Source organism: Homo sapiens, chromosome 15 (assembly GCF_000001405.40).
Source record: "Homo sapiens chromosome 15, GRCh38.p14 Primary Assembly".
Taxonomy (NCBI): domain Eukaryota; kingdom Metazoa; phylum Chordata; class Mammalia; order Primates; family Hominidae; genus Homo; species Homo sapiens.
Genome location: NC_000015.10, coordinates 78,919,499 through 78,947,112, shown reverse-complemented (window position 1 = coordinate 78,947,112; position 27,614 = coordinate 78,919,499). Strand labels below are relative to the sequence as shown.

Genomic DNA, 27,614 nt, shown 5'->3' with positions numbered 1-27,614 from the left:
GAGGGAAGGGCACAGAGGCTCACATCTCTAATCCTAGCACTCTGGGAGGCTGAGGCAGGAGGATCACTTGAGCCCAGGAGTTTGAGACCCCATCTCTACTAAAAATACAAAAAAACTAGCTGGGCGTGATGGTACGAGCCTGTGGTCCCAGCTACTCAAAAGGCTGATGTGGGAGGATCTCCTGAGCCTGGGAGGCCAAGGCTGCAGTGAACTGTGATGATGCCACTGAACTCCAACCTGGGTGGCAAGAGAGCCAGGCCCTGTCTCAAAATAAATAAATAAAAATTTAAAAATGAAGAGACAGAGAAAGAGCAAGCCCAGAGCAGAGAGCACTGCAGTAGGTCAAGGCTGGGTTCAGACACTCTCTGCGCACAGACTGGGAAAGTTACCATCTACTCTTGTGGCCTCAGTTTCCTCATCTGTAAAATGGGGGGTCAACAACATGCCACTTTGCAAGGTGATGATGTAAGTGAAGAACAGGGCATCACTGGGCATTTGAGGCTACGGCACAGGCTGGTCTGAATCACCCTCTCCTCACCCAAAGCAGTGACAGCACCGGCCTCCTCAGCCTGGAACGCACGTTCTTCTGTCTGTCTCACACCCAGACCCTTACATACCATCTTCTTTAGCTTTGCAAACTACAGAGAATGGCCCTACAGCTCTTAATGTAGCTTCCTCAGCAGAAAGACTAAAATGTCTGTTGAGGGGGCAAAACAATTCACAAGGAGGTCGTCTAGCTTCTTCAGTTGTAAGTCCACTCCAAGCAAAAGGGAAGCCAGGGAAATGTGGTTAACCAGGGCAGGGAGACGTGGGGAGTGTGGGGGAAAGTCTGAGGTGGAGACACACAGGGACATGGGGGGTATGAGGTGGGGACAGGCAGGGAGATGGGGGTGCAAGGTGGAGACACGCAGGGACATGAGGGGGTGTGAGGTGGGGACAGGCAGGAAGATGGGAGGTGCAAGGCGGGGACAGGCAGGGACATAGGGGTGTGAGGTGGGGAAATGCAGGAAGATGGGGGGATGTGAGGTGGGGACTGGCAGGGATATGGGGGTGTGAGGTGGGGACAGGCAGAGACATGGGGGTGTGAGGTGGGGACAGGCAGGGACATAGGGGTATGGTGGGGATAGGCAGGGAGATGGGGGGTGCGAGGTGGGGACAGGAAGGGACATAAGGCTGTGAGGTGGAGACAGGCAGGGACATGGGGGGTGTGAGGTGGGGACAGGCAGGGAGATGGGGGGTGCGAGGTGGGGACAAGCAGGGACATGGGGAGTGCGAGGTGGGGACAGGCAGGGACGTGGGGCGTGCGAGGTGGGGACAGGCAGGGACATAAGGGTGTGAGGTGGAGACAGGCAGGGACATGGGGAGTCTGAGGTGGGGACAGGCAGGGAGATGGGGGGTGTGAGTTGGGGACAGGCAGGGAGATGGGGGGGTGCGAGGTGGGGATAAGCAGGGACATGGGGGTGCGAGGTGGGGACAGGCAGGGACATGGGGGTGGGAGGTGGGGACAGGCAGGGACATAGGGGGTGGGAGGTGGGCACATTCAGGGAGATGGGGGTGTGAGGTGGAGACAGGCAGGGACATAGGGGGAGCGAGGTGGGGACAGGCAGGGAGATGGAGGGTGCAAGGTGAAGACAGGCAGGGACATGGTGTGAGGTGGGGACAGGAAGGGACATGAGGGGTGCGAGTTGGGGATAGGCAGGGAGATGGGGGGGTGCGAGGTGGGGACACGCAGGGAGATGGGGGACGTGGGGATGGCGACAGGCTGGGAGAGGGAGAGGCCAGGCTGAGACCTCCCCGCGCGGTGCCAGCCAGTCCAGGCAGATCCAGGACTCAGCCAGGCCTGATACCCAGATAAGCCCTTCCTCCCAGAGGAGATAAGGGAGCGACGCGGCCGGCCGACAGGTGAACTAGAGCTGGCGAGTTAGTCGGCGCCGCCCCCTCCCGCGAGCCCGGCCTCGGGGGAGTACCGCCCACCCCGCCCCGCGCTCGCTCCGCCCCGCGCTCGCTCCGCCCCTTCGCGCTCCCGCCGCTCCTCCACGCTCGTGCCGCTCCCCCCCCGCGCTCCCAGTTGACGCTCTGGGCCGCCACCTCCGCGGACCCTGAGCGCAAGAGCCAAGCCGCCAGCGCTGCGATGTGGGCCACGCTGCCGCTGCTCTGCGCCGGGGCCTGGCTCCTGGGAGTCCCCGTCTGCGGTGCCGCCGAACTGTGCGTGAACTCCTTAGGTACGCAGAGGGCGCGCCGCCCGAGAGGGTGCTAGCAGGCCCTAGAGTGGACGCTGGGAGAACTTGGCCAGGGGCGCACTGGGCTCCGGAGGAACGGGGCAGAGCTTTCCCCGGTGAGAGGCCAGGAACTCTGCGTGCTGGCACGGGGAGGGGTAAACTGCATTATAGGCGGGGGTTCTCGGAGGGTGGGCGGCTTGTAGGACCAGAGGAGCAGATGGGCTGAGTGTCCAGGGTCCCACCTAGCCAGGTGGCTCTCCAGCCTAGAATACCAAAGGAGCCCGCAGCTCCTTCCGCCTTCCTCAACTGGGGACACAGAGTGTCACACAGAGGACTCTGATCTGTCCCTGCCAGAGGTGAGCAAGGACGTCCCAGCCTTCTCTAGCAGCTTCCCCCGGGACTTGGCACACAGGGGATCCCCGTAGTGTCTTGGGAGTCCCATCTGTAGAGTAGGTTGGACGGGCTGTTTGGAACAGTGAATCCCTGTGCAACGGCACCAGGGAAAGCACTCAGACCAACAGCGCTTTTAACAGCACCCCAGGGCCCATGGCGTCAGGTGGAGCCCCAGGACTCCTCTTGTTGGCCAGATTGGCTGCGACTGGTCCAGCTTCGTGCTGCCCTTGCATCCTGTCTACTGCCCGGGCTCAGGCACCTCCCCTGGCTGAAGGCAAGGAGCCTGCTCTTCCCTACTGCCTCCCTCCTTTCCTACTGTCCCTGGTCCCAGCCTCAGCCCACAGGCTCTGAACTTAAAGACCACCTGCCCCCTTCACCGAGAAAAGTAGCCAAGAAACAACCCAAGGAGCCAAGAACCTAGGGAGGGGGGGTGCCCTGAGCTCTGGAGGAACGGGACAGGGCTTTCCCCCAGCTAGAGGCTCAGGGGATGGGACAGAGATCACTGAGGCTGAATCTGGGCCAGAGGGTTGCCTCATTCCTTCCCACCTATTTATTTAAAAAGCTCCCCAGCCTTGCAAACCTCAGTGGGCGCCCAGCTCCAGGTCAGTTCCCGCCTAAGGAAAACCTAGCTGCCGCAAGCGAGGGCTGCCTGGAGAAGGCTGGCGCTGAGAGGCTGTCTGAATTCCAGAGCAGGGCTTGGCAAACTTTTTCTGTGAAAGACCAGACGGTAAATAACTTAGGCTTTATGGTGGTCTCTGTAGCAACTACTAACTCTGCCATGGTAGTGTGATAGCAACCATAGATTGTATGTAAGTGAGTCAGTGTAACTGGGTTCTAATAAATGATTTTTATGGCCACTGAAATTTCAGTTTCAAGGGATTTTTGGGTGCTACGAAATATGTTTCTTCTAACCATTTAAAATTGTAAGAAACCGTTTGTAGCCCAGGAGCTGTACTAAAACAGGAGTCAGGGACCGGCTGCGGTGGCTCACACCTGTAATCTCAGCAATTTGGGAGACCGAGGCAGTCGGATCACTTTAGGTCAGGAGTTCGAGAGCAGCCTGGCCAACATGGTGAAACCCTGTCTCTACTAAAAATACAAAAATTAGCTGGGTGTGGTAGCCAGGTGCCTGTAATCCCAGGTACTCAGGAGGCTGGGGCAGGAGAATCGCTTGAAACTGAGAGGTGGCGATCACTCCAGCCTGGGTGACAGAGTAAGACTCCATCTAAAACAAACAAACAAACAAACAGGGGAATACTGTACTTTCCTGAAACCTGCTGTAAATCCAGGCAAGGTATTATGGCACTTTTAAAGTCCTGACTAGATTGGAATGGATCTATTTTAGGGTAAGGCACGGTTCACCAGCAGATTATTCTGGCCCCAGAATAATCTCTCCAGAGGCAAACTGGTAGTCAATTGTCCTAAACTCAAACCCTGCCTCCAACTCTTGTCCTGAGTTGAGGTCTGTCTTCCTCTAAAGCCCTCAGCTGCAGCAGGGCCCTTAATCAAGATCTGGAATCCCCTGAAACCCTAAAGGGAGCCATGTTGAGGAAATGTGCATTTTCCCCAGGGAAAACGGCCATAGATTGGTCTCTGGAACAGGTTCGAGACCCAAAAACGGAGATCTAAATGCTGTGTGGTAGTGATCTTCACACTGGAGGTATGGATCCTTGGGGAAACAGGAAGATATTTCAAGTGATGCCGGCAGAGAGTGTTCTGGAAATCCATTTACAGACCTTTTATTTCCAAGTGTCCTCTTTGCTAAAACTGGGAGAGAGCCCCTGAAGGCAAGGGGGAACCTCTTTCCTCTCATTCAATCTGAACCTGAACCCATGGGTATAAAAACAATAGGGACAGCAAACAAAAAGACAAAACGGTAATAAATCGTTCATATCTGGCATTCTCAATTCCTCAAGGAAACTGAATTGAAGAGGAGAGGACTTCATGGGGATATCAACTGATGAGGTCTTAAAAATAATGTTGAGTGAGGCCAGGCGTGGGGGCTCACGCCTGTGATCCCAGCACTTTGGTAGGCCAAGGTGGGTGGATCACCTGAGGTCAGAAGTTTCAGACCAGATTGGCTAACATGGTGAAACCCCATCTCTACTAAAAATATAAAAATTAGCCGGGCGTGGTGGTGGGCACCTGTAATCCCAGCTACTTGGGAGGCTGAGATAGAATTGCTTGAACCAGGGAGGTGGAGGTTGCAGTGAGCTGATATCGTGCCACTGCCCTCCAGCCTGGGCAACAGAGCCAGCCTCCTTCTCAAAAAAAAAAAAAAAAAAGAAGGAAAGAAAGGGAGGGAGGGAGGGCTGAGTGATAGAGCACCATGGGATTGGATGCACAGAAAGGAGTGCGAAGAATTAAGTGGCATTGCTCTTAAAAACTGCCTCCATTCCCAGCTGCTTATTTGAGCAGGGTTTCCCAGCCCTTTGACCTATAAGAAACAAAAATAAGACCAGAATTAATGCTGAACCTTTTCTCAACCAAACAATATTCACTCATGAAAATATAAATCCATTGCGGGGGATGGGCAGTAGAGTACTGTTTATCACATTAAGAGATGCATTTCTGATACAATTTTACTTTTGATGTTTAACAATTACTTTTCATAATGTATAATACATTTGAAATGTTTTAATCAGTTGGGACACTAATAATAATTATGATTACTCAATCCAGAATAAATTTTTTTTTTTTTTTTTGAGACGGAGTCTCATTCTGTCGCCCAGGCTGGAGTGCAGTGGCGTGATCTCGGCTCACTGCAAGCCCCGCCTCCCGGGTTCACGCCATTCTCCTGCCTCAGCCTCCTGAGTAGCTGGGACTGCAGGCGCCCGCCACCACGCCCGGCTAATTTGTTTTTTGTATTTTTAGTAGAGTTGGGGTTTCACCGTGTTAGCCAGGATGGTCTCGATCTTCTGAACTCGTGATCCGCCCGTCTCAGCCTCTCAAAGTGCTGGGATTACAGGCATGAGCCACCGCGCCCAGCTCCAGAATAAATTTTTATAATATTCACAGATGTATGGGTCACAGGTAGTAAAAACATTTAATTTTTTTTTTTTTTTTTTTTTTTTTTTTAGACAGAGTCTCGCTTTGTCGCCCAGGCTGGAGTGCAGTGGCACGATCTTGGCTACTGCAACCTCTGCCTCCCAGGTTCAAGCAATTCTTCTGCCTCAGCCTCCCAAGTAGCTGGGACTACAGGTGCATGCCACCACGTCTGGCTTATTTTTGTATTTTTAGTAGAGATGAGGTTTCACCATGTTGGCCAGGCTGGTCTCAAACTCCTGACCTCATGATCCACCTGCCTCAGCCTCCCAAAGTGCTGGGATTACAGGCATGAGCCACGGCGCCCAGCCAAAATAAATAATTTAAATTTAAACTTTTTGTTGTTGTTGCAGAAAAGAATGTGAAGGTGATCAAGCATAAAAATGTATGTTCCCTTAGGATAAAATTCTGCCAGGTGGGGATGGAGATAGGTGTTCAACAAGAAAAAGAAACTCTGTATAATATCTGACTCTTTTTTGTTTTGTTTTCTTTATTTGAGATGGAGTTTCGCTCTTGTCACCCAGGCTGGGGTGCAGTGGCACAATCTCGGCTCACAGCAGCCTCCGCCTCTCAGGTTCAAGCGATCCTCCTGCCTCAGCCTCCTGAGTAGCTGGGATTACAGGCGCCTGCCACCATGCCCAGCTAATTTTTGTATTTTTAGTGGAGCTGGGGTTTTGCCATGTTGGCCAAGTTGGTCATGAGCTCCTGACCTCAGGTGATCTGCCCACCTTGGCCTCCCAAAGTGCTGGGATTACAGGCGTGAGCCACCACACCCCGCCTAAATACCTGACTCTTATAGAAAAGTTTGTTCATGTTACTGATGGTGGATATCAAATCATCATGGTATTTAGATTCCACTGGCTAGCTTTAAAAGAATGATATAACAATCTTATTTTTAGAGATTTTTTTTTTTTTTTTGAGACAAGGTCTCACTCCTGTCACCCAGGCAGGAATGCAGTGGCGCTATCATAGCTCATTGCAGCCTCAACCTCCCAGGCTCAAGTGATTCTCCCGTCTAATTTTTTTTATTTTTTTGTAGAGACGAGGTCTCACTTTGTTGCCCAGACTGGTCCCAAACTCCTAGGCTCAAGGGATTCGCCTGTGTCAGCCTCCCAAAGTACTGAGATTATAGGCTTGGGCCACACTGCCAGGTGTTATTTTTAAATCTCAATATTTATAAGTTGGAATATGTCTTTGGAGGTATTCAAATTTAAAATGAAATGTTTAGATAAGAACATACATGGGGAAATACGGCAGGAATCCAAAAACAAATGGCTGGCCTGCTTTTGTAAAATATTTTGTCTTGTTTGTTTTATTATGTTTTTGATAATATCTGTACATATTTGGGGGTACATGTGAGGTTTCGTTTTTGTGAAGTCTTGCGGGAACGCAGTCCTACCCATTAATGTTCACAGTCTCTGTGGCTGTCTCTGAGCCGCAGGGGCAGAGTTGAGTAGTTGTGGCAGAAACCATATAGATGGCAAAGCCTGAAATATTTACTACCTGTCCCCATAAGGAAAAACAGTGCTTGCCCTTGGAATAGATAGGTTTGTTTTTTGTTGTTGTTGTTTTTGAGACGGAGTCTCTCTCTGTCGCCCAGGCTGGAGTGCAGTGGCACGATCTCGGCTCACTGCAACCTCCGCCTCCCGGGTTCAAGCGATTCTCCTCAGCCTCCCGAGTAGCTGGGATTACAGGCACACACCACCATACCCAGCTGATTTTTATATTTTTGTGGAGACAGGGTTTCGCCATGTTGGCCAAGCTGGTCTTGAACCCCTGACCTCAGGCAATCGGCCCACCTCGGCCTCCCAAAGTGCTGGGATTACAGGCATGAGCCACCGCGCCCAGCTGGAGTAGATAGCTTTTTAAATTAACTTCTTACCGAAATATAACTTCATACAGAAAGGGGCACAAATCATTGAGTATGCATTTCCACGAATTTTCTCAATCTAAACACACTCAGTTAACCAGCGCCCAGTTGAAGAAACAGGATATGAGCAGCATCCCGGAAGTGCTTTCTGCACCCCGACCCAGTAGGCATAACCACCATCCTGACTTTCAACACCATTGACTAATAGTATATACTTTTTCACATTAATTTGGGGTACAAAACCAGGAAGAGTCGGAGTTTCTTTTTGCATTCTGCATTATATAACACCATTTTTGGTGTTTTAAATTTAGTCCAGTTTTCGAAAATGCAAATCAGTTCTAAAGTGCCCTACTTTGCTATAGACTCAACATTACTGTGATGCGCCCAGACCTAATTTTTTTTTTCTTTTTACAGAGAAGTTTCACTTCAAGTCATGGATGTCTAAGGTCAGTGCCCAACTTCTTCTTTTTGAAGTTTTTCATTTCACAAAGTTTCCTGTTATCAAACCAAACTGTCCCAGATTTGAGACAATGAAAAAGGGAATTTCCAACTTTGCCTAGTGGGGTCTTTCCAGAAGTTGAACTGGCCAAACACTGGGAAAGATGCAGTTAAGTAAATTCCTTCCAAATAGTGGTCCCAAGTGATTAACTTGGCTGACAGCCTTCCAAGCCCTGGGATTCATTTCTGTATTTTGTTTTCAAAGCACATTGTGGAGAATGTAAATTAGTACAACCATTGTAAAAAAAACAGTATGGAGGTTCCATCAAAAACTCAAAACAAAACTACCATATGACCCAGCAAGCCTACTACTGAGTATATATCCAAAAGAAAGGAAATTAGTATATTGGAGGGATATCTGCACCCTCATGTTTATTGCAGAACTAGTCACAATAGCCAAGATATGGAATCAACCTAAGTGCCTATCAATGGGTAAAGCAAATGTGGTGTATGTACACAATGGAATATTATTCAGCCATAACAAAGAATGAAATTCTGTCATTTGCAGCAACATGGATGGAACTGGAGGTCATTATGTTTAGTGAAATAAGCCAAGCATAGAAAGGCAAATATTACATGTTCTCACTCGTATGTGGGAGATAAAAAAGTGGATCTGATGAAGAAAGACAGTAGAATGGTGACTAGCAGAAGCTAGGAAGGGCAGGGAAGCAGGGATGAAGATAAACTGATTCCTGAGTACAAAATATTTTTTTTTTTTTGAGACAGAGTCTCACTTTGTCACCCAGGCTGAAGTGCAGTGGCACACTCTCGGCTCACTGCAACCTCCACCTTCTGGGTTCAAGCGATTCTCATGCCTCAGCCTCCTGAGTAGCTGGGATTACAAGTGTCTGCCACCATGCCCGGCTAATTTTTGTATTTTTAGTAGAGATGGGGGTTCGCCATGTTGGCCAGGTGGGTCTTGAACTCCTGACCTCAGGTGATCCACCCGCCTCAGCCTCCCAAAGTGCTGGGATTACAGGCGTGAGCCACTGCACCTGGCCCAAAAATAATTAGAAGAAATGAGACCAAGTGTTCAAAAAACAAGTAGATTCAACTGTAGTAAGCAATCATTATTTTGTATTTCCAAATAGCTAGTAGAGAATAATTTGAATGTTCCCAGCATAAAGAAATTTTTAAAGTAATGGATCTCCCAATGACCTTGATTTGATTATTACACATTATATGAATGTATCGAAATATTACATTTACCAAAAAAAGTACATCAGTTATATATCAATAAAAAATTATACACATTTGTTTTTAGAAAACCAAAGCACACTGTGTACTGGTTGCAGAATCAGTTGGGGAACACCAGTGCATGTGCTTTTGAAAAATGGTGATCTTTGCTGTAAACTTGACCCAGCACCAGCAGTGGCGTCCAGGAGTGCCCCACATGTGGCAGGTTTGTTCACCAGTGCCTCTTGGACCACATTCTGACTTTCACGCAGCTGCATGGTCTTCATTCTGGCCACAGGTCCCTGAAAACGGGGTTGTTTTGTAACTTCCCAAATTTCTCAGCAGTACCCCGCCCATTAACACAGATTTGGCCTGAGAATCATAGCAGAAAGAAAACCTTCATCTTTCCTCTTAGGAAAACAAAAAGGTCTCCCTCTAGGGAGCTGCAGCCTGTTTCCATGACTTGCTACTGGCGTGTTTTGTTTTAGCACCGTAAGACCTACAGTACGGAGGAGTACCACCACAGGCTGCAGACGTTTGCCAGCAACTGGAGGAAGATAAACGCCCACAACAATGGGAACCACACATTTAAAAGTACGTGGAACGCCTTCCTTCCTTCCTGGAAGGATGTCAGTTAGTGACCCAGCCCATGAAAGGGCCCGCTGGGGGCTGGTGGGTGGAGGGAGCAGAAGCCCAGGCTCTGAAGCTGTGTTTGGCTGACCTCAGATTGTGGCTCCGCTGTTACTCTCTGTGTAATGTGGGATCGTAAATTTGGGACAAAGCCGGTACCCCTCTGGGTGGTTGTGAAGTTTACAAGAGACTCTGTAGAAGCCCCTGCCCCATTCCTGCCATCTGAGGGTCCAGCCTGGAAGCCAAGGTCTGTCTTTGGATTGTTGCGGGGGGTAGGGGTTGCTCATGGGCTCAGAGCAGCCCCTGGGAGCATCTGCCTTCACTCCGGATTAATTTCACTAGAAACTCACATAGGCCGGGCGCGGTGGCTCACGCCTGTAATTCCAGCACTTTGGGAGGCCGAGATGGGTGGATCACCTGAGGTTGGGAGTTCAAGACCAGCCTAACCAACATGGAGAAACCCCATCTCTACTAAAAATACAAAATTAGCCGGGCTTGGTGGCGCATGTCTGTAATCCCAGCTATTTGGGAGGCTGAGGCAGGAGAATCACTTGATCCCGGGAGGTGGAGGTTGCGGTGAGCCGAGATAGTGCCATTGCACTCCAGCCTGGGCAACAAGAGTGAAACTCCATCTCAAAAAAAAAAAGAAACTCACACGCACGTCCAGCGTATTTTCTGAGGACTCTGAGAAATATTGGTAGTTGACTAAATTGGTAATAAAGGCATCAAGCATGAGCTGGAAAGAAACTTGGGCTTGAACCTCATTTCTGCCCAGTCCTAGCCTGTGACCTCCAGGGATGCTAACATGGGCAGTAAAGAGGAAATGAGCCCAGGTGTGGTGGCCCACACCTATAATCCCTAAAGACAGGGTCAGGAGTTCGAGACCAGCCTGGCCAACATGGCAAAACCCCATCTCTACTAAAAATACAAAACTTAGCCGGGCATGGTGGCAGGTGCCTGTAGTCTCAGCTACTAGGGAAGCTGAGGCAGGAGAATCGCTTGAATCCGGGAGGCAGAGGTTGCAGTGAGCCAAGATCGCGTCCCTGCCTCCAGCCTGGGTGACAGAGCGAGACTCTGTCTCAAAAAAAAAAAAAAAAAAAAGAAAAGAAAAGAAAAAGCAGAAATGATCACGCATCCCTGCTGGGGCTGTGTAGAGACCAAATTAGGCAGCAGGTGGGAAGGCCCCTGGCACCAGTGGAGTGGTTCTTTACCTAGCTATCCATCAGACTCACGAGGGGAGTATCTAAAAAAGTAAGTGCCCAGGCCCCACCCCAGACCAACTGCATTAGCATCTCTGGAGTACGGCCCGGACATCTATACCATTGAAAAAGCTCCCCAGGTATTTTGGCAGCACTGTAAGGGCTGATTGAATTATCTACTGAATTATATTAAATACAAAAACTTAAAGGAGATGGGTTGCAGTGGTTCTAAATACGACACAGGTAAACAGGAGGTTTCATCACTTTTTCTTGTTTCTTCATTAGTGATTCACTAACCATTTCTGTTTTGGTTTTTTCCTTCTCTTTTGTAGTGGCACTGAACCAATTTTCAGACATGAGCTTTGCTGAAATAAAACACAAGTATCTCTGGTCAGAGCCTCAGGTAGGTATAATTCATTGCAACCAAATCTGAATCCTTTTACTGAAACCTTTGGAATAAATTTGGAGCCTGCTCTGCTTCTAGGCAGATTCAGTCCCATCCCCAGATGCAGCTGAGGGTATCCCCAGATTCTTTGGGGGAACCAGAAGAGTCAGCTCTCAGCAGTTCCTCAGTCCAGGCCCATGGCCTTAGCATTGTGGACCCTTAACTTAGGGCTACCAGATTAAAATATAGATACTCAGTTAAAAATGAATTTCAGATACACAACAAGTAATTCTTTAGCATAAGTATATTCTAAATATTGCACAGGATATACTTACACTACAAAGTTATTTGTTGTTTACCTGAAATTCAAATTTAACTAGGTGAGCTGTATTTTTATTTGCTACATCTGTCTACCCTATCCTAATGCTCTGGACTCTCAAGGGGACATGTCATTTAGCACTTGGGACCAGTAGACAGGAGAGGGAAGGTTCTGAGAGCTGCAGCCTTTCTTATTCTCTCTTGGTGATTCCATGTTTATACATTTCTTCTTCTTGTTGTCAGAAAGGTTTTTGGTTTTGTTTATTTTCCTGAAAATAATGTGTTTGGTTGTTCCAGAATTGCTCAGCCACCAAAAGTAACTACCTTCGAGGTACTGGTCCCTACCCACCTTCCGTGGACTGGCGGAAAAAAGGAAATTTTGTCTCACCTGTGAAAAATCAGGTATGCCTGGCAATCTCCATCCTCTCCCTGCAAAACGGCCACACTCCCAGACAATACACCAGGAAGAACAACTCAAAAGGTCCACAAAACCACCACAAGCACATCCCTGCCTCTGTTTCCTCTCGGCATCTCTCCAGCCCTCTTCCTTTGAGGGGCCAGGGAGGTCAGCACTTCTCTAGGCTGCTCTGGAGGATGCAAAAGTTCCTCTTTATTGGGCTAAAGTTTACTCCCTTCCTTCCCCACGCCCCAGATTTTCCCATTGGTCCCAGGTCTCTCCTACAGAGCCATCCAAAACGTTATGTTCCCTGTGCCCATCTGGACACCAGAACCCCATGCATCTCCTCTTCCCGCCTCCATCTTCTCCGAGCCACCAGGGTCCAGCCCCTGCCCTGGCTGGCCGCCTCCCTCTGGTTAGTCCATGTGTCATGCATCAGCAAGCTTCTCATGGCAGGGGCTGGCCTCCGTGGCCCTTGCTGTGGGGCACAGAGGGCTTGGCAAGGTGAGAGGCCCTGCCTTCCTCCATGGGGGAGCAGTCTGGGGGCATCTCAGCACAGGCCCTGTCCCAGAGAGTCTGGACCCTGCCCCCGCTGTTCTCCCGGCCTGCTGCGGCCCCTCCCCTAGCAGGGAACCTGCCGTGGCCTTCTTCAGAAGGATGCCGACCTCTGGACTCTAGGAAATATGAGGTGAAGGTTTCCTTCCTGGAAACTCCTGGCTTTCCATCGAAATTCTCCATGAGAAATGTTTTTTCACTTTCCAAAAAGCCATCCATGCAGCACAGCTTTAAAGCCTCCCGGGCTTGCAGTGTTCCTGGAGCCTGCCAAGTGCTGGATGTTTAACTAGCATCAGGAGCCAAAGCAAACCTCCCCTTGCAGCAGGAGGTGGAGTAGAAGCCTGCCTTTGCCCCGTGACATTTTTAGACCCTCTGAGAACCACATGACAATTCAGAGCAACACGTAACCTAAACCTGCCCACCACTTGGACAGGTGGGAAAGAGAGGCCCACCAAGAATTTTCCAAGTCCTCCTGTTAACTGATCCTGGGCCATCAGGCAGGACGCAGCCGGCTGGGCTAAGGGAGCGGAATGAGGTGCTTCCTGACGCAGATGTGTGCCGTCTCTTACTGTGGCCGCTGTGTGGGGATAGAGACGGACAGCAGCCACAGCGTCCATCAGCTCAGCACCCTCCTTGAGAGTTTCTCACTTTACAGAGGGAGAGCCTGAGAGGGAGGGTGGTTTGCCTGAGGTCCAAGGTAAGTAAGTGACAAAGGGGACTCAAAACCAGGCCCCTGCCCCAAGTCGAGCACCCAAGGGTCAGCCGAGCTCCGCCTCCTTCAGCAGTGAGCTTAGTCTCCCCCGAAGTGGCCACGTCTGCCTCGTTGACTGTCTCATGGACCCTCTCACCAGGCCGTCCCTCCCTCCCCCAGCTGAGAGAGATATGTGAAGGGAAGAGATTGGGTGAGGCCAGTGTCAACCTAGGGTGATGACCTGGGAGGCAGGTAGGGGACTTAAGAGACATTTCAGAAGTAGAAGCTGGAAGACTGAACCAGCAAGGTGAGGAAACAGAGATGAACCTGAGAGAAATCCTTACAGCAGCCACCAGCATTGTGCCCACGGGGGTGACTGCCTGACCAGCAGAATCTGACTTAACCCTGCTAGCGCCCTGCAAGCAGGAACCCTCGCCATTCCCACTTTACAAGCAATGAAGCCAAGGCTTCGAGAGGGGAAGTGACTTGCCCAGGTCACCCACCTGGTGTGTGGCAGAGCTGGGATGTGAACCAGGCAGGCAGGCTGCAGCCCCCCACACCTAATCCTCATGTTATTCTGGAGGTGTTGTGAATAAGGGGGCTAGGCAGCGGCAATGAACTGTTAGAAGGTGGGGAAATGGGTGGATGGGGCGGGTCCCCCAGAGTCTGGGGTGTCAGGGGTGTCTGGGTGGGGTTGTCTGGCAGTTAGTTGGATGTCTGAGCCTAAGTGGAGGTCAGCACTGGGCTAGGGTTTGGGGAGCTGTTAGTTTAACAGGACTGGGCAGAAGAGACTGGAGGTGGAAAGGTGAGAGAAGGTTCTAAAAACAGAACTTTGGGGCATCCTTCTGCAGGGAACCAGTAGGGAAAAGAGGAGCCAGTGAAGATCGAGAAGGAAGAGAGCCAGAAGACTGCAGAATGGGGTGGGGGACTCCAGGCCCTGGCAGAATGGTGGGGATTGGCCACCAAGAGGTGGTGATTGGGAGTCCACAGGCACTGGTCAGAGGCCACCTGCTGCTCCTGCTCCTTTGCAAGCCTCTCAGGACTTGCGAGGCTCAGAATGAATGGATCTGGAACAGGGCTTGCGAGCCTCAGAATGAATGGATCTGGAACAGGGCCTGCGAGGCTCAGAATGAATGGATCTGGAACAGGGCTTGGTAAACTGCCAAGGCACCTGGGGACTCGGGAGCTCTGGCAGGGTCAGCAGAGGAAGGCAGAAGGCAGGGCTGTCTCACGGCGTCCCCATCACTGATGTCCTCTGCTCTCCCCTGGCCTTTCCAGGGTGCCTGCGGCAGTTGCTGGACTTTCTCCACCACTGGGGCCCTGGAGTCTGCGATCGCCATCGCAACCGGAAAGATGCTGTCCTTGGTAAGAAATCAGCCACAGGCGACCCCCTGCGGAGGACACCCCATCCTGATGTGGGCCAGGCCTGGGCCTTTGGTTTCCCTGGAGCATTGGCTAAGGGTGCTGTTTCAGGTGGACCCAGATGCCCCAGCCTTGTGGACATCTGGCATGAGAATCTCAATTGATGCTTTTCCCGGGAAGGATCTGAGTTTATTAAGGAACCGGCCCAAGGGCTCATTCCTAGATGGATCTGGGTGGTCCTTAGCTTGACAGCCTGGAGCCTTCCCGGCGGAGGGGTTCAGAAAGGCGGAGCCTGCCTGGTGGGTAGCCAACTAGGAGCTACACCCTTCCCAGCAGCCTCAGTTGTCTTCATGAGGGAAGAGCCGGGACCTATGCATCCATCCCCTCGCCCACAAGAGACGGATGATGCCCCTGAAGGAACTATCCTAGCCCCTGCCTCTGTGGAGAAAGGAGGGACAGTGCACAGCCGGCCTGGTGATGCCATGAGGACCCTGGGTTGTGGACAGGTGGGGGTAGGGTCTCTGGCTGGGCCTGTTTCCCCCATCCTATACACCGCTGTGGGACCCCACACTCTGCATCGTATGGGCACACCTACGGGGCAGGGGTTTGGACCCAACAGCCCTTGCCCCCTCTCACCTTCCCTGGCTGCCCCTGCTTACTGAGCCCCTCCCGACATGTGCCAGCTGCTGGGCTGGCACTGCAGGACATACAGCAACTGTCCCTGCCCTTGGGGAGTTTATAATTTGGTCACCTTGACACAGCACTGACGGGGCCTCAGATGTGGCTCAGCCAGGGAGGCTTAGCGCCTCACGCCAAAGCCTTGACGGCTTCTCAGCTGGCAGGTCACTGGGTTGTGTCCTTCTTCCAGGCGGAACAGCAGCTGGTGGACTGCGCCCAGGACTTCAATAATCACGGCTGCCAAGGGTACGTCTCTGACCAGAAGGGGCCCAAAACTTCCTCATTTCCCACTGACCGCTTCGACAGGATCCAGTGTGTGCTGGGTCTGCCACAGATATAACCCACCACTGCCCTGGGCGATGGCAAAATGGTCTCTGTTGTACAGGGGTGGTCACCTCACATGGCCAGGTCTCATAGCCAGGACAGGGCAGAGCTGGAATCTGAGTCCAGGCCTCTGTCCTCTCTCCACTGTATCACCTGGCTCTCCACAGTGCGGTTGGCCTCACCCGCCACCAAGGCCTCTGGGAGTGTGGCCAAAAGAATTTAATAGAGTGAGCAACACACCATTACACATCATCCTCCAAACCCGAGATCCACACACAGATACAGGGTTGGCCTTTAGATGAACTCACTAAAGTCCCAGCCTCCCAAGCTCATTGCGCCCTGTGAGGGTGAGGTGGCTGTGTGTAAGGGCTGTACCTTGCCTGGACCTGCTTTCCTGGCCCACTGTAAAGCAGGTTGCCAGGAATTTGCTGACATTTCTACAGTGACTCTAGCCCTCCCTTCATGCAGTGCTCTGAGACATTTCTGTGGTCTTTGCTCACCTGGCACATGGTGTGCATAAAGCCAGGCTCTTGGGGTGCCGTGCCTCGACTCCCCTCCACCTCCCTGGGGCACATCCCTCTCCCAGACCCCAGCCCCTCTGAGCTGGCTCTTCCTCCTGCAGGGAGCCGTGCTGCAGCCAAGTCCTGGGGACCCAGGGGTGACGTCGTAGCCTGCTCTCAGATCCACCATCATGCTCAGTGTCCCCTTACTTTTGGTCTGTTTCCACTCCACAGCTTAGAAACCCAACCCATAACAAGAGTCTGACATTTGGGCACTCTGGGGTCCCACCGTTTTTATTTTTTATTTATTTATTTATTTATTTATTTATTTATTTTTTCTTTTTTTGAGATGGAGTCTCGCTCTGTTGCCCAGGCTGGAGTGCAGTGGCGCGATCTCAGCTCACTGCAAGCTCCGCCTCCCGGGTTCACCCCATTCTCCTGCCTCAGCCTCCCAGGGAGCTGGGATTACAGGCGTGCGCCACCACACCTGGCTAATTTTTGTATTTTTAGTAGAGATGGGGGTTTCACCATGTTGGCCAGGCTAGTCTCGAACCCCTGACCTCAGGTGATCCACCCACCTTGGCCTCCCAAAGTGCTGGGATTACAGGTGTGAGCCACCACATCCAGCCTGTTTTTCAAAGGAGTCTATTTGCTTTGGTTCAGGACAGTACTTCCTTTTCTCATTCATACAACAAATATCACAGAGCACCCGCTGTGTGTAGGCCCTGGGGATACAGCGCTCAGCAGAACTGGAAGAGCGGGCATTCTGGCAGGCTCAGAGAGACCACAGTCAAGGCTAGACTAGGTCAGGCGGTGCGGAATGCTATGGAGAGAAACAGAGAAGGGACGGGGATTGCTGGGCAGCTGCTGAGTTTTTGTTTATTCTGGGAGGCCACATGATGTAGAAAAGACCCACTTTTGGAACCACTTCCCAGCTTTAGCTGTGTGGCCCTGGCCAGGTTATTCAGCCTCTTTGCCTCAGCCAGTGACAGCATCCACCACACAGGGTCGACACGAGGGGTCAGGGAGTCATGCCTGGGAAGCACCTGCCCAGGGGCTCGGCTGTGGCGATGACAGTGCTCTGGGCTGATGCTGTTGACCATGGTGTGGGGCTGTGCACTCCTGACAGAGCGGCTGGCCTTAAGGGGTCTCTATCCCACTGAGGCATGTTTGGGCTGGTCCTTGGACTCCGGTGGCCTCATCTGAGTTTGCTGAGTCTTATCCCAAGGCTGGGCCTCTCAGAGACCCCCTCTGCCACTGGGACATGCCCAACCAAGTCCCCAGCCTGCCAGGCCAGATATCTCGCCACGCCAGTCCCCGAGGGCCCCGCCTCTATCAGGACAGCCCCAGGTGGGCTCACCTGTGTGTACTTCTTGCAGGGGTCTCCCCAGCCAGGCTTTCGAGTATATCCTGTACAACAAGGGGATCATGGGTGAAGACACCTACCCCTACCAGGGCAAGGTAACTCCAACAGCCTCCACTCTGTCTTCTTGGCGTACAGCATGCCTAGCTTCACTCCCTCCCCAGCCTTGGAAGACATCCCTTCTCCCCCCACCTCCCTCCCGCCGGAATTCTCACAATTGTCTGTTCTCTCCAAATTCTTCCTTCCCCTCCTCCACCCACCTGAGCCCACTGCTCTCACCAGTCCAGGGGCCTCTTTATCATTCTCACCCCATACCCGCTCTGCGGCACCATCTCTTTCCTTCCCGAGCCAGACTTCTCAGGACCCCTCCTTCCCCCCACCTGCCCCATCTTCCTGGCTCCTCTCCCTCCTGCCACGAGCGCCATCCTCTCGCCTCTGTCCATGCAGTTGGCCTCTTGTGCCAAGGACCCTTTGGGGGCCCACCCCCACCCCTACCCTATCAAGGCTGCTGGGCCTCCCACCATCACCTCCGCCCAGCCTGGCCACAGCCAAGTGCCTTGTCTTTCCCCAAGACCTGTTGCTCCTCCTTTATTTCCCCTCGTGGTGATGAGCAGCACTGGCCTCCCTCAGAATTTCCCAGGTGTCCACAGTCCTGTTGGGCCGGTCCCCCTCTCCACCCCACCCTGCCGCCAGCCTGCTGACCACCACAGACCTCACATGACTCCCTTGGCCCATCTGTGTCGCTGACCACTCAGACCGGGGCCTCCATCCAGACCCCTGAGGGTGGCCTCCCCCAGGCCTCTCAAACCCAGCTCAGACCCCACGCCTGCCTCGATCAGAATGCCGCCGAGGCTCCATGCGGCCTTCGGGAGAAAGCCCAGACTCCAACTCAGTCTCCCTGTCTCTTTTACTCTCCCTTCTTTTTTTTTTTTTTTTTTTTTTTTTGAGACGGAGTCTTGCTCTGTTGCCCAGGCTGGAGTGCAATGGCGCAATCTCGGCTCACTGCAACCTCCGCCTCCCGAGTTCAAGCAGTTATCTGCCTCAGCCTCCTGAGTAGCTGGGAGTACAGGCACCCGCCACCACGCCCAGCTAACTTTTTATATTTTTAGTAGAGACAGGGTTTCACCATCTTGGCCAGACTGGTATTGAACTCCTGGCCTCGTGATCTACCGCCTCGGCCTCCCAAAGTGCTGTGATTACAGGCGTGAGCCACCGTGCCCGGCCAACTCTCCCTTCTTAACCTCACGCCCAGGCCCAGCCACATGCTGGTTCCTAAATGCCAGGTCCTACCCTCCCTCTAGTTCTGTCCCTTGTCCTGCTGCCTTCTCTCCTGCCTTGAAAGGGCTGCGCTTCCCTCCTTGTGACCTTACCCCTGCACCTGCCTCTTGCCAGCATTGTTTTTTGGGCTGAGACTGTCCCCACTCCCCTGCCTCACAGGCTCTGACTCGGCCTCCACTTCTCAGTGAGTTTCCTCAGGCCGGGTGAGGCCCCTCCTCAGGCTCCCACCACACACCATGTGTGCCCACCTCTGCCAAAGCCAGCACAGGACCATCTGCTACCAGACCCTAAGCTCCTTGAGGACAAGGATGCTTTAATTCTCTCTGAAATTATCCCATCCCCCAGGCCCTGGCACATCTTGTTTTGTTTAGTAAATGTTATTGAACTGCGTGGGGAGGCTGAGACTTCGGGTCCATAACCTGTATTTCATGCCCTTTGCATCCTCAACAGGATGGTTATTGCAAGTTCCAACCTGGAAAGGCCATCGGCTTTGTCAAGGATGTAGCCAACATCACAATCGTGAGTGCCGATCCCCCTCTGGGATGGGGAATGTGTCCTGATGAGGAGGCCTCTCTCATGCTGTCGGATAGCCAGTGGGCCCAGCAAGGCAGCCCTTCTGGCAGCACATCCCTTTGACGAGTTCATATTATCCCTGGGTCTCAGTCGCTGTGATGGTGGCGAGGCAGGAGATGGGAGGGAGAGCGCAAACTGGCAGGCAGGCCCTCTGGTTCTGAACTCCAGATCCACACATGCCTTCATTCTTTTGGTTCTGTTTTCTTGCTTGTAAAATGCAAGCAATTGTCCGCATCCTGCAGAAGAGGGTATGAGCACGTGCTTGACACAGCGTGTGTGAAACTGAGGAGGGTGAGTGTGTGTCACTCAGGATGAGCCAGGTTCTGTTGCAATAACAACCGTGCCCAATCTGCATGGCTGACAACAGTCAAAGGGTGTGTGGCACTCCTGCGCCCATGCACAGCTTAGGGAGGGTGGTGTGTGCTCCGTGTCATTGGCCTCACGCCAGGACTAGAGGGAAAGAAGGTGGTAAATGATGCCCTAGCTCTAAAGCCAAAACAAGCCGCCCAGTCACAGTTGACCTCAAGTGAATAGGGAAGTGTGGTCTTACCCTGCTTCTCCCAGAGAGAACTGGAACGTGAATGAACGCCTTCGTGACTGCAGTGTGCATGCATGCAAGTGTGGGAGGGTGTGTGAGGAGTGGAGGAATATCGCTTAGGTTGTGTGTGCGCCCACGAATGTATGTACAGTTCACAAACGTGATGTCTGTGTAATGACAGCGGCTGCCATTTAGTTGAAGCATGTGCCAAGCTCTCAGCAATAACATCTTAACTTGATGGAGTACTTCTAGGTGCTGTACCAACCCTCAATACGCACTATCCCCTCTAGACCCGAACTGGCCCTAGGAGATGAGTATCCTTATTACCTCATTTGACAGGTGAGGAAACGGGGGCTCCAAGTGGTTAAGTAATGTGCCCAAGGCCACAGAGCTAGGAAATAGATGCTGGATTTGAACTAAGAATGTGTCATTCCAGAACCAGGGCTCATTGCCTTGACAACATACAGCGCAAATCCTGTACTCAGGATGTCACCCTCTTCAGAATGTTGCTGCTGTCACTCAAGCTGGCTGCTCTGGGCCATGATATCCCAAGGACAGGTGAATTTGGGCCTCAAAGGTATCCCTTTGCATGGTCCCCAGGAGAGCCTCATTGGTGACACCTGCAGGGCCCTGACGACCAGGCCAGAACTAGCATTCAGCCCTCTTGGGCAGGCCCATGGGGTGGAAATGGTGCCACCTGCAGAAGTCATCGCCCCTGTGCTGGGCTGGCCTCTGTGCCCTCCATGTCTCAGATATGCCCTGACCTGTTGGGCTCACAAGGCCTTGTCCACATACCAGGAAGGAGGGCACTCCCTTGCCAGGCACCTGTTTGCTTTTCACAGCTGGGTCTCTGTCCACCCCTCTAGGGAGGCAGGACTGAGGGAGGCTGGGCGCCCCGTCCCTCCTGCACTTGCTTTCCTTCAGTAGGGCCCTGGCCTCAGCACAGGTAACTTCCCCCCTCATTTCAGCTCCCAGAGGTCTCTTGGTTAGTGCACTTGAACCCAGCCACCCCCAACCCAGAAGCTCCAAAAAGTGCCAATGCCTGGGACCCACCCTGCAGATACTGTTGTAGTTGGTCTGAGGCACAGCCTGGACTTGGGGTTTTTTTAAGGTTCTGCATGGGGTTCTACCTGCTGCTGTCACCTGGTCTCTGCAGCTCTGTTCCAAAGCTGCAGCCTCCAGGAAGCCACCCTGACTTCCCCCCACCTACCTTCCCCCTTGGAGGGGACAGGTTCTACTCAGAAGTCACACAGCCCTCGGATGGGTCTTCTCGTTTCCACCGCCATCTGGGACCTACCCGTCCATGGTTTATAACCCCTGTGTTCTAGCAGCAAAGCTTTGTAGACTCTGGGTTTATGGGTGTAGGGGTGAGAGCTGCTGGCCCAGGAGAGGACCTCAGGGAATGGATGTGAATGACTGAATGAGTAGGTCCACGCTGTACCCCGTGGTCCCTATCTCAGAGGGTGCAGGGTTTCCTAGGAGCAGAGTTGGGGAGAGGAACGAGAGATGGCCAGACAGACCCAGCCAGAGACAGGAAGGGAGAGAGGCCGCAGGGGAGCTGCTTCTGGCCATCCATGCTGCTCTGGGCCTCTAGCCCCTAGCTTGAGGCAAAAGGCTGTACTGTGAAAGGAGTGGGGAGGTGACAGGCCATGTGTTTCTGTCTCGGTCCTGTTTCCACAGTATGACGAGGAAGCGATGGTGGAGGCTGTGGCCCTCTACAACCCTGTGAGCTTTGCCTTTGAGGTGACTCAGGACTTCATGATGTATAGAACCGGCATCTACTCCAGGTGAGTCAGGGTCCCAGGAGCCAGGAGGGACAGTGGGGAGGGGCTTGGTGGGCCTCCTCACACCCCACTCGTGGGACTTGGGCTCGTGGCCCAGACTCCTGTGTGTCAGACCCTTCATGACACCTGCCAGGTGCTGGGCGTTTTGCACATCCCTCAGTTAATCCTCACACAGCCCCAAGGGCCAGGAGCCATGGCCTCTTCTCACAGCAAAGGAGAGGTGGTCAGAAGGGATACGACAGACACAGGCCACCTGGCTAGTGAGAGCTAGGGCCAAAATTTGAGAGCTTTGTGCTCCTTAACAGAAGAGTTGCCTCCAGTTTAAAAAAAACCCATGTTCAGGCCAGGCGTGGTGGCTCATGCCTGTACTCCCAGCACTTTGGGAGGCCGAGGCAGGTGGATCACTTGAGGCCAGGAGTTCAAGACCAGCCTGGCCAACATGGCGAAACCCCATCTCTACTAAAAATACAAAAAAAAAAAAAAAGCCAGCGTGGTGGTGCATGCCTATAATCCCAGCTACTCGGGAGGCTGAGACACAAGAATGGCTTGAACCTAGGAGGTGGAAGTAGCACTAAGCCAAGATCGTGCCACTGCACTCCAACCTTGGTGACAGAGCAAAGCTCTGTCTCAGAAAAAAAAAAAAATACCCATGTTTAAAGATTTGAAGACGTAAAATAGGGAGAAGAGTAGCTGCCCTCACACACTAGGATCCTGTGCTGGAGGAGTCACCCCAGGCTTCTTCAGAAAAACCAAGCTTTAGCCTCTTTACTATGGGGTTTCTCTCACCCACACCTTTTCGCCTGCCTGGTTTGCAGCCTCATTTCCCTCCCTTCATCAGTTGCTGCCCGTTAACGTCACTCACTAATGTCACTCACGTCTGTGCTCTCCTCTCCCTCCCTGAGGCTCTGCCCTGGTCACCATTGTCCTTGGACCCCCTAACCCCCCACACACTGTTCCAGCTTCCACTGGGAGCTGTCTGCCTTCTGAAACACTCCTCTTGCCAACGCCAACCTTTGAACACACCAGTGTCCCTGCTTTCCCAGGGTCCTACCCTGAGGGGGACCCTCATGATCTGGTCCTCCCTCTTTTTCCACACTCATCTGCCATCAAACCCGTCCCCGCCGTTCCACCCTGCAGCCCCCACCCCAGCCACGCAGAAGGGTTCGCAGTTCCATGGGCGTTCCCCGCCTCCACAGGGAGCCTTCCCTGACCCACCCTGCCCACCCTCCCCCCCCCCCCCGCTGGGTTGGATCCCCCCCACCTCCTGGGGGCTCTGTCGCCCTCCCACTGTCAGAGCCCTCAGGCCACTGTAGAGAAGCAGCCTCTTTGCCAACCTGCTCCCTGCCAAACAGGGCTTCCAAGGGACAGTTATGCATGCTGCCTGGATCCCGGCACCTGGCCCTGGCGCGAGCCTATGGCCCACTTACACATCAGCTGAATTCACACCTGACCACTGCAGTTTGTTCTCTTGAATTTCTTGGAATTTCCTTATGGAGGCTAGTTCACTTTTGTAAACAGAAAAAGTTGTATTTTTGCCATAGGTATAAAGTAATATTTAATAAATGCAGTGGCAACAAAGCAAAGCTGTGTTAAAGTCTGCCAGACACTGTTGCCTACAGAAGGTGCAGCAGGAAGGTGGCTCTCTCCTTGCCAGGAAAGAGGGAGTAGAAAGTGTCAGGGGTGAGACACGGGCCAGCACCATATGGAGATTCTCCTGACAGAAGCAGAAGAACCAAAAGAACTGAAAGGGCCGGGTGCGGTGGCTCACACCTGCAATCCCAGCACTTTGGGAGGCCGAGGTGGGTGGATCACCTGAGGTCAGGAGCTCGAGACCAACCTAGCCAACATGATGAAACCCTGTCTCTACCCAAAATACAAAAATTAGCTGGGTGTGGTGGTGCACGCCTGTAATCAGGCTACTCGGGAGTCTGAGGCAGGAGAATCGTTTGAACCCTGGAGGTGAAGGTTGCAGTGAGCAGAGATTGCACCATTGCACTCCAGCCTGGGCAACAGAGTGAGACTCCGTCTCAAAAGAAAAAAAGAACTGAAAGGAGTTCTCTCACGGAGACTAAATGTGATTACATCACCACCTTACATGCCTCCCTGGTCCGCTGTGGGGAACATTGCTCTAAAGCGCTCAAAGAGGCGTTGTTGGATGGGACTGTCATTGCTTTTATCCTTCCCATATGATCACCTCTTTTTGAATTTTGTTTTCCAGTACTTCCTGCCATAAAACTCCAGATAAAGTAAACCATGCAGTACTGGCTGTTGGGTATGGAGAAAAAAATGGGATCCCTTACTGGATCGTGAAAAACTCTTGGGGTCCCCAGTGGGGAATGAACGGGTAAGCAGCTCCCAGGTCCCACTTCTGGGAGGGGGATGTTGCTCAGGCCTGGAGGCCCTGGGGGCATCACTTCCACCTCAGAGTTACGGCTTCCACAGACGAGCTGGTCAGCCAAGCCCTAGGCCAGGCCAGGGGGAAAGGGAGCATGAGAATGTAGCCTCCACATTTCCAAGCCCCCATTTGCAGCCCTCACAGGGCCCCAGGTCTTTAGGACGCTGCAGGGAGAGCAGGAGGCCAGCTGGCTCAGAAGGACTGCTAGGAAAACAGCTCAGAACTTGGAACTCTGCTGGCACGAAATCAGTGTCTGGGAGGGTCCGTCTTTGAGAAATCAAAGCAACAAATGTACCCCTGATCACTGACAGCCCCTCCTTCCGGGAGAAAAGGCTGGCATGGGGCGGCCTGGGTGTATATGCTGCTGTGCCTTTGTCCTGTCCTCCCAGATTCCATGTCCTTGTCTGAAAAGGAGAGCTTTCCTGTTCCCTCGGGCTCCTGGTGATAAAATAGCTGTGTGAGGGCCCGGCCAGGGCTAAGAGGGGGCCCTCGGTAAATTTTCGGGAGAAGTGGGATATGGATCATTCATTTGGCAGCTAAGGAGAGGGAAGAATGAATTCTTCACAAAGTCAGGTCCGTGATTTGCCGGTGATCAAATAAGCCGAATGCTACTGTTTTATGAATAAATTTAGAGGGTCTCACCCCTGAAGTCAGCTCTTGGTGAGCAGCAAAACATTCTAGAAAGGCCTGTGGTGGGGAGACCGCCGGCCGGGCCTCAGCTCCTCTTTCTGCCCAGGTACTTCCTCATCGAGCGCGGAAAGAACATGTGTGGCCTGGCTGCCTGCGCCTCCTACCCCATCCCTCTGGTGTGAGCCGTGGCAGCCGCAGCGCAGACTGGCGGAGAAGGAGAGGAACGGGCAGCCTGGGCCTGGGTGGAAATCCTGCCCTGGAGGAAGTTGTGGGGAGATCCACTGGGACCCCCAACATTCTGCCCTCACCTCTGTGCCCAGCCTGGAAACCTACAGACAAGGAGGAGTTCCACCATGAGCTCACCCGTGTCTATGACGCAAAGATCACCAGCCATGTGCCTTAGTGTCCTTCTTAACAGACTCAAACCACATGGACCACGAATATTCTTTCTGTCCAGAAGGGCTACTTTCCACATATAGAGCTCCAGGGACTGTCTTTTCTGTATTCGCTGTTCAATAAACATTGAGTGAGCACCTCCCCAGATGGAGCATGCTGGTCCTGGGCCATGACTCAAACCAGGTCTGTCCTCGCCACTCAGTCTCCCAGGAGGGAGGCATCAGGGGGTGTCCAGGCTCTGGCTGGGAGGATGGTGGGGGTGCTGGCGGTATTATCCACCAGATGGGGTATCCAGGATGAAGAGCAGGCTTAATTTGAGATCTTGACTATTTGTCCCAAACCTGAGTGGAGAGGTGGGGAGGAAGGAGAAAAACGGGCCAAGCTGCGGCAGAGGCAGGATTCAAACCCACAATGTCAGCCCAGAAGCCTGTACTTCTCTGTGTGGCCTCCCCAGTCTCAGCTGCCTACTCCTACTCAGACTCTGCCCCCCACCTCCACATGAGACTGCCCACCCCTTCCTCACCAACCCCTTATTTATTTCAAACGTGCCCAGATGCTCCTGTCGTTTCCACACCATCCCTTCCCTTATCTTGCCTTTTGAGAAATCTTGATCTCTGTTTAGAGGGCGGCCATGAAGTTGCTGCTGCTTCCTGAAGCCTCCGGGCTCTGGGATGTCTGTAGAACAAGCTGGAGTCCACCAGCTCTTTGTCCTATGGCTCACAGACTTTCTTAATGATAAAAGCTGTCATCTTATTTGGGCTTCCTGAAAAGCTAAAGGCTTGAGAATATTTGAAAAATATATATGTTCATGATAAGGCTTATTTAGATAATGCAAATATAGTTTAATTTATTAGAAAATTCTAGTAACATAAGACCACAACTGTATAAGACAAAAAACAATCACCTTGCTAGGCATGGTGGCTCACGCCTATAATCCCAGCACTTTGGGAGGCCGAGGCAGGTGGATCACCTGAGGTCAGGAGTTTGAGACTAGCCTGGCCAACATGGTGAAACCCCGTCTCTAATAAAAATACAAAAAAAAAAATTTAGCCAGGAGTGGTAGTGCACACCTGTAGTCCCAGCTACTCGGGAGGGTGAGGCAAGAGAATCGCTTAAGCCTGGGAGATGGAGGTTGCAGTGAGCTGAGATCATGCCACTGCACTCCAGCCTCAAAAAAAAAATAATAATAATAATAGACTTCATTGGATGGAATTCTATTCTAGATTTAAAAAAAAACTAACATGAAATGAAAGCATAATTTCTTTTTCTTTCTTTTTTTTTTTTTTTTTTTAGATGTAGTCTCACTCTGTCACCCAGGCTGGAGTGCAGTGGTGTGATCTCAGCTCACTGCAACCTCCACCTCCCCAGTTCAAGCGATTCTCCTGCCTCAGCCTCCTGAATAGCTGGGATTACAGGCATGCACCACCACTCCTGGCTAATTTATGTATTTTTAGTAGAGATGGGGTCTCACCATGTTGGTCAAGCTGGTCTCGAACTCCTGACCTCAAGTGATCCCAAAGTGCTGGGATTACAGGAGTGTGAGCAACCGCACCCAGCCTGAAAGCATAATTTCTGAATTTGACAAAGATTCTCAAATCAATGGTCAGTTGTATAAAAGGATTCCCATTGAAGTCAGTGGTATAAAAGGATTCCCATTGAAGATACATGGCAAATAAGTCTAAGGGTACCATTCTTGCTTACATCTATCTGGAAGATCTGGCTGCTGTGATAAATAAACCCAATTAATATTTGCAGACAGCATGATAATGTGGCTAAAAACATTCAGGAGAATCAACAAAACTTAGAACTAATGAAAGAGTTCTGAAAGTGGCTGGATACCAGAAAAAAAAATCAAAAACTCAGAAAAAATACACTATTTTTTGTTACTATTGCAACTTTACTATTGCAACAAAACCAGCAGCTAGGAATAACCACCAAAAAGTCTTATATGAAGAAAATTACTAAATTAATAACACTATAAAGGAAGACTTAGATAAATGGAGAGCCACCATATTCTTTTGTTGTTGTTGTTGAGACAGAGTCTCACACTGTTGCCCGGGCTGGAGTGCAATGGCATGATCTTGGCTCACTGCAACCTCCGCCTCCCGGGTTCACGTGATTCTCCTGCCTCAGCCACCCGAGTAGCTGGGATTACAGGTGCCCACCACCACACCTGGCTAGTGTTTTGTATTTTTAGTAGAGACGAGGTTTCACTATGTTGGCAGATTGGTCTCAAACTCCTGACCTCATGATCCACCTGCCTCGACCTCCCAAGGTGCTGGGATGACATGCATGAGCCACCATGCCCGGCCGAGGCACACCATATTCTTGAATGGAAAGATTAGCATAAATAAGTTGATTATTGCCAGAAATAAAAGTACAGATGGTATATTTCCAACTAAAATCCCAATAAAATT

The 27,614-nt window shown here is 51.9% G+C and overlaps 1 protein-coding gene across 4 annotated transcripts, besides 10 other annotated features; it reads left to right on the top strand.

Annotated features, from left to right (window-relative positions):
* Positions 1,797 to 2,335: an enhancer, noted in NCBI's record as "H3K4me1 hESC enhancer chr15:79237120-79237658 (GRCh37/hg19 assembly coordinates)". NCBI's record gives its function as "activates a minimal SCP1, AML or CMV promoter by ChIP-STARR-seq in naive H9 embryonic stem cells {active_cell/tissue: H9 hESC(naive)}" and the evidence as "EXISTENCE:reporter gene assay evidence [ECO:0000049][PMID:30033119]".
* Positions 1,865 to 2,214: a silencer, noted in NCBI's record as "silent region_6720". NCBI's record gives its function as "represses an Ori minimal core promoter by ATAC-STARR-seq in GM12878 lymphoblastoid cells {active_cell/tissue: GM12878}" and the evidence as "EXISTENCE:reporter gene assay evidence [ECO:0000049][PMID:35858748]".
* CTSH (cathepsin H) lies at positions 2,067 to 26,055 on the top strand. Of its 4 annotated transcripts, none has more exons than XM_017021951.2 (13): positions 2,067 to 2,222; positions 7,942 to 7,973; positions 9,290 to 9,427; positions 9,690 to 9,795; positions 11,363 to 11,433; positions 12,031 to 12,135; positions 14,655 to 14,741; positions 15,607 to 15,662; positions 17,620 to 17,701; positions 19,332 to 19,400; positions 21,673 to 21,779; positions 23,995 to 24,120; positions 24,908 to 26,055. In XM_017021951.2, the coding sequence occupies exons 3-13, from the start codon at positions 9,359 to 9,361 to the stop codon at positions 24,981 to 24,983; spliced, it is 954 nt and encodes a 317-aa protein (XP_016877440.1). In that variant the 5' UTR covers positions 2,067 to 2,222; positions 7,942 to 7,973; positions 9,290 to 9,358; the 3' UTR covers positions 24,984 to 26,055. The 4 variants fall into 4 exon arrangements, with proteins under 4 accessions (XP_016877440.1, NP_001306066.1, NP_004381.2 ...); NM_001319137.2 differs by having other exon boundaries at positions 15,072 to 15,662; NM_004390.5 differs by lacking the exon at positions 9,290 to 9,427.
* Positions 2,336 to 2,874: an enhancer, noted in NCBI's record as "H3K4me1 hESC enhancer chr15:79236581-79237119 (GRCh37/hg19 assembly coordinates)". NCBI's record gives its function as "activates a minimal SCP1, AML or CMV promoter by ChIP-STARR-seq in naive H9 embryonic stem cells {active_cell/tissue: H9 hESC(naive)}" and the evidence as "EXISTENCE:reporter gene assay evidence [ECO:0000049][PMID:30033119]".
* Positions 2,336 to 2,946: a biological region, named in NCBI's record as "Sharpr-MPRA regulatory region 2017".
* Positions 2,652 to 2,946: a silencer, noted in NCBI's record as "tiled region #2017; K562 Repressive non-DNase unmatched - State 1:Tss". NCBI's record gives its function as "represses a minimal TATA promoter and a strong SV40 promoter by Sharpr-MPRA in K562 cells {active_cell/tissue: K562}" and the evidence as "EXISTENCE:reporter gene assay evidence [ECO:0000049][PMID:27701403]".
* Positions 3,335 to 3,384: an enhancer, noted in NCBI's record as "active region_9927". NCBI's record gives its function as "activates an Ori minimal core promoter by ATAC-STARR-seq in GM12878 lymphoblastoid cells {active_cell/tissue: GM12878}" and the evidence as "EXISTENCE:reporter gene assay evidence [ECO:0000049][PMID:35858748]".
* Positions 3,815 to 3,864: an enhancer, noted in NCBI's record as "active region_9926". NCBI's record gives its function as "activates an Ori minimal core promoter by ATAC-STARR-seq in GM12878 lymphoblastoid cells {active_cell/tissue: GM12878}" and the evidence as "EXISTENCE:reporter gene assay evidence [ECO:0000049][PMID:35858748]".
* Positions 7,490 to 7,749: an enhancer, noted in NCBI's record as "active region_9925". NCBI's record gives its function as "activates an Ori minimal core promoter by ATAC-STARR-seq in GM12878 lymphoblastoid cells {active_cell/tissue: GM12878}" and the evidence as "EXISTENCE:reporter gene assay evidence [ECO:0000049][PMID:35858748]".
* Positions 7,860 to 7,959: an enhancer, noted in NCBI's record as "active region_9924". NCBI's record gives its function as "activates an Ori minimal core promoter by ATAC-STARR-seq in GM12878 lymphoblastoid cells {active_cell/tissue: GM12878}" and the evidence as "EXISTENCE:reporter gene assay evidence [ECO:0000049][PMID:35858748]".
* Positions 21,705 to 21,754: an enhancer, noted in NCBI's record as "active region_9923". NCBI's record gives its function as "activates an Ori minimal core promoter by ATAC-STARR-seq in GM12878 lymphoblastoid cells {active_cell/tissue: GM12878}" and the evidence as "EXISTENCE:reporter gene assay evidence [ECO:0000049][PMID:35858748]".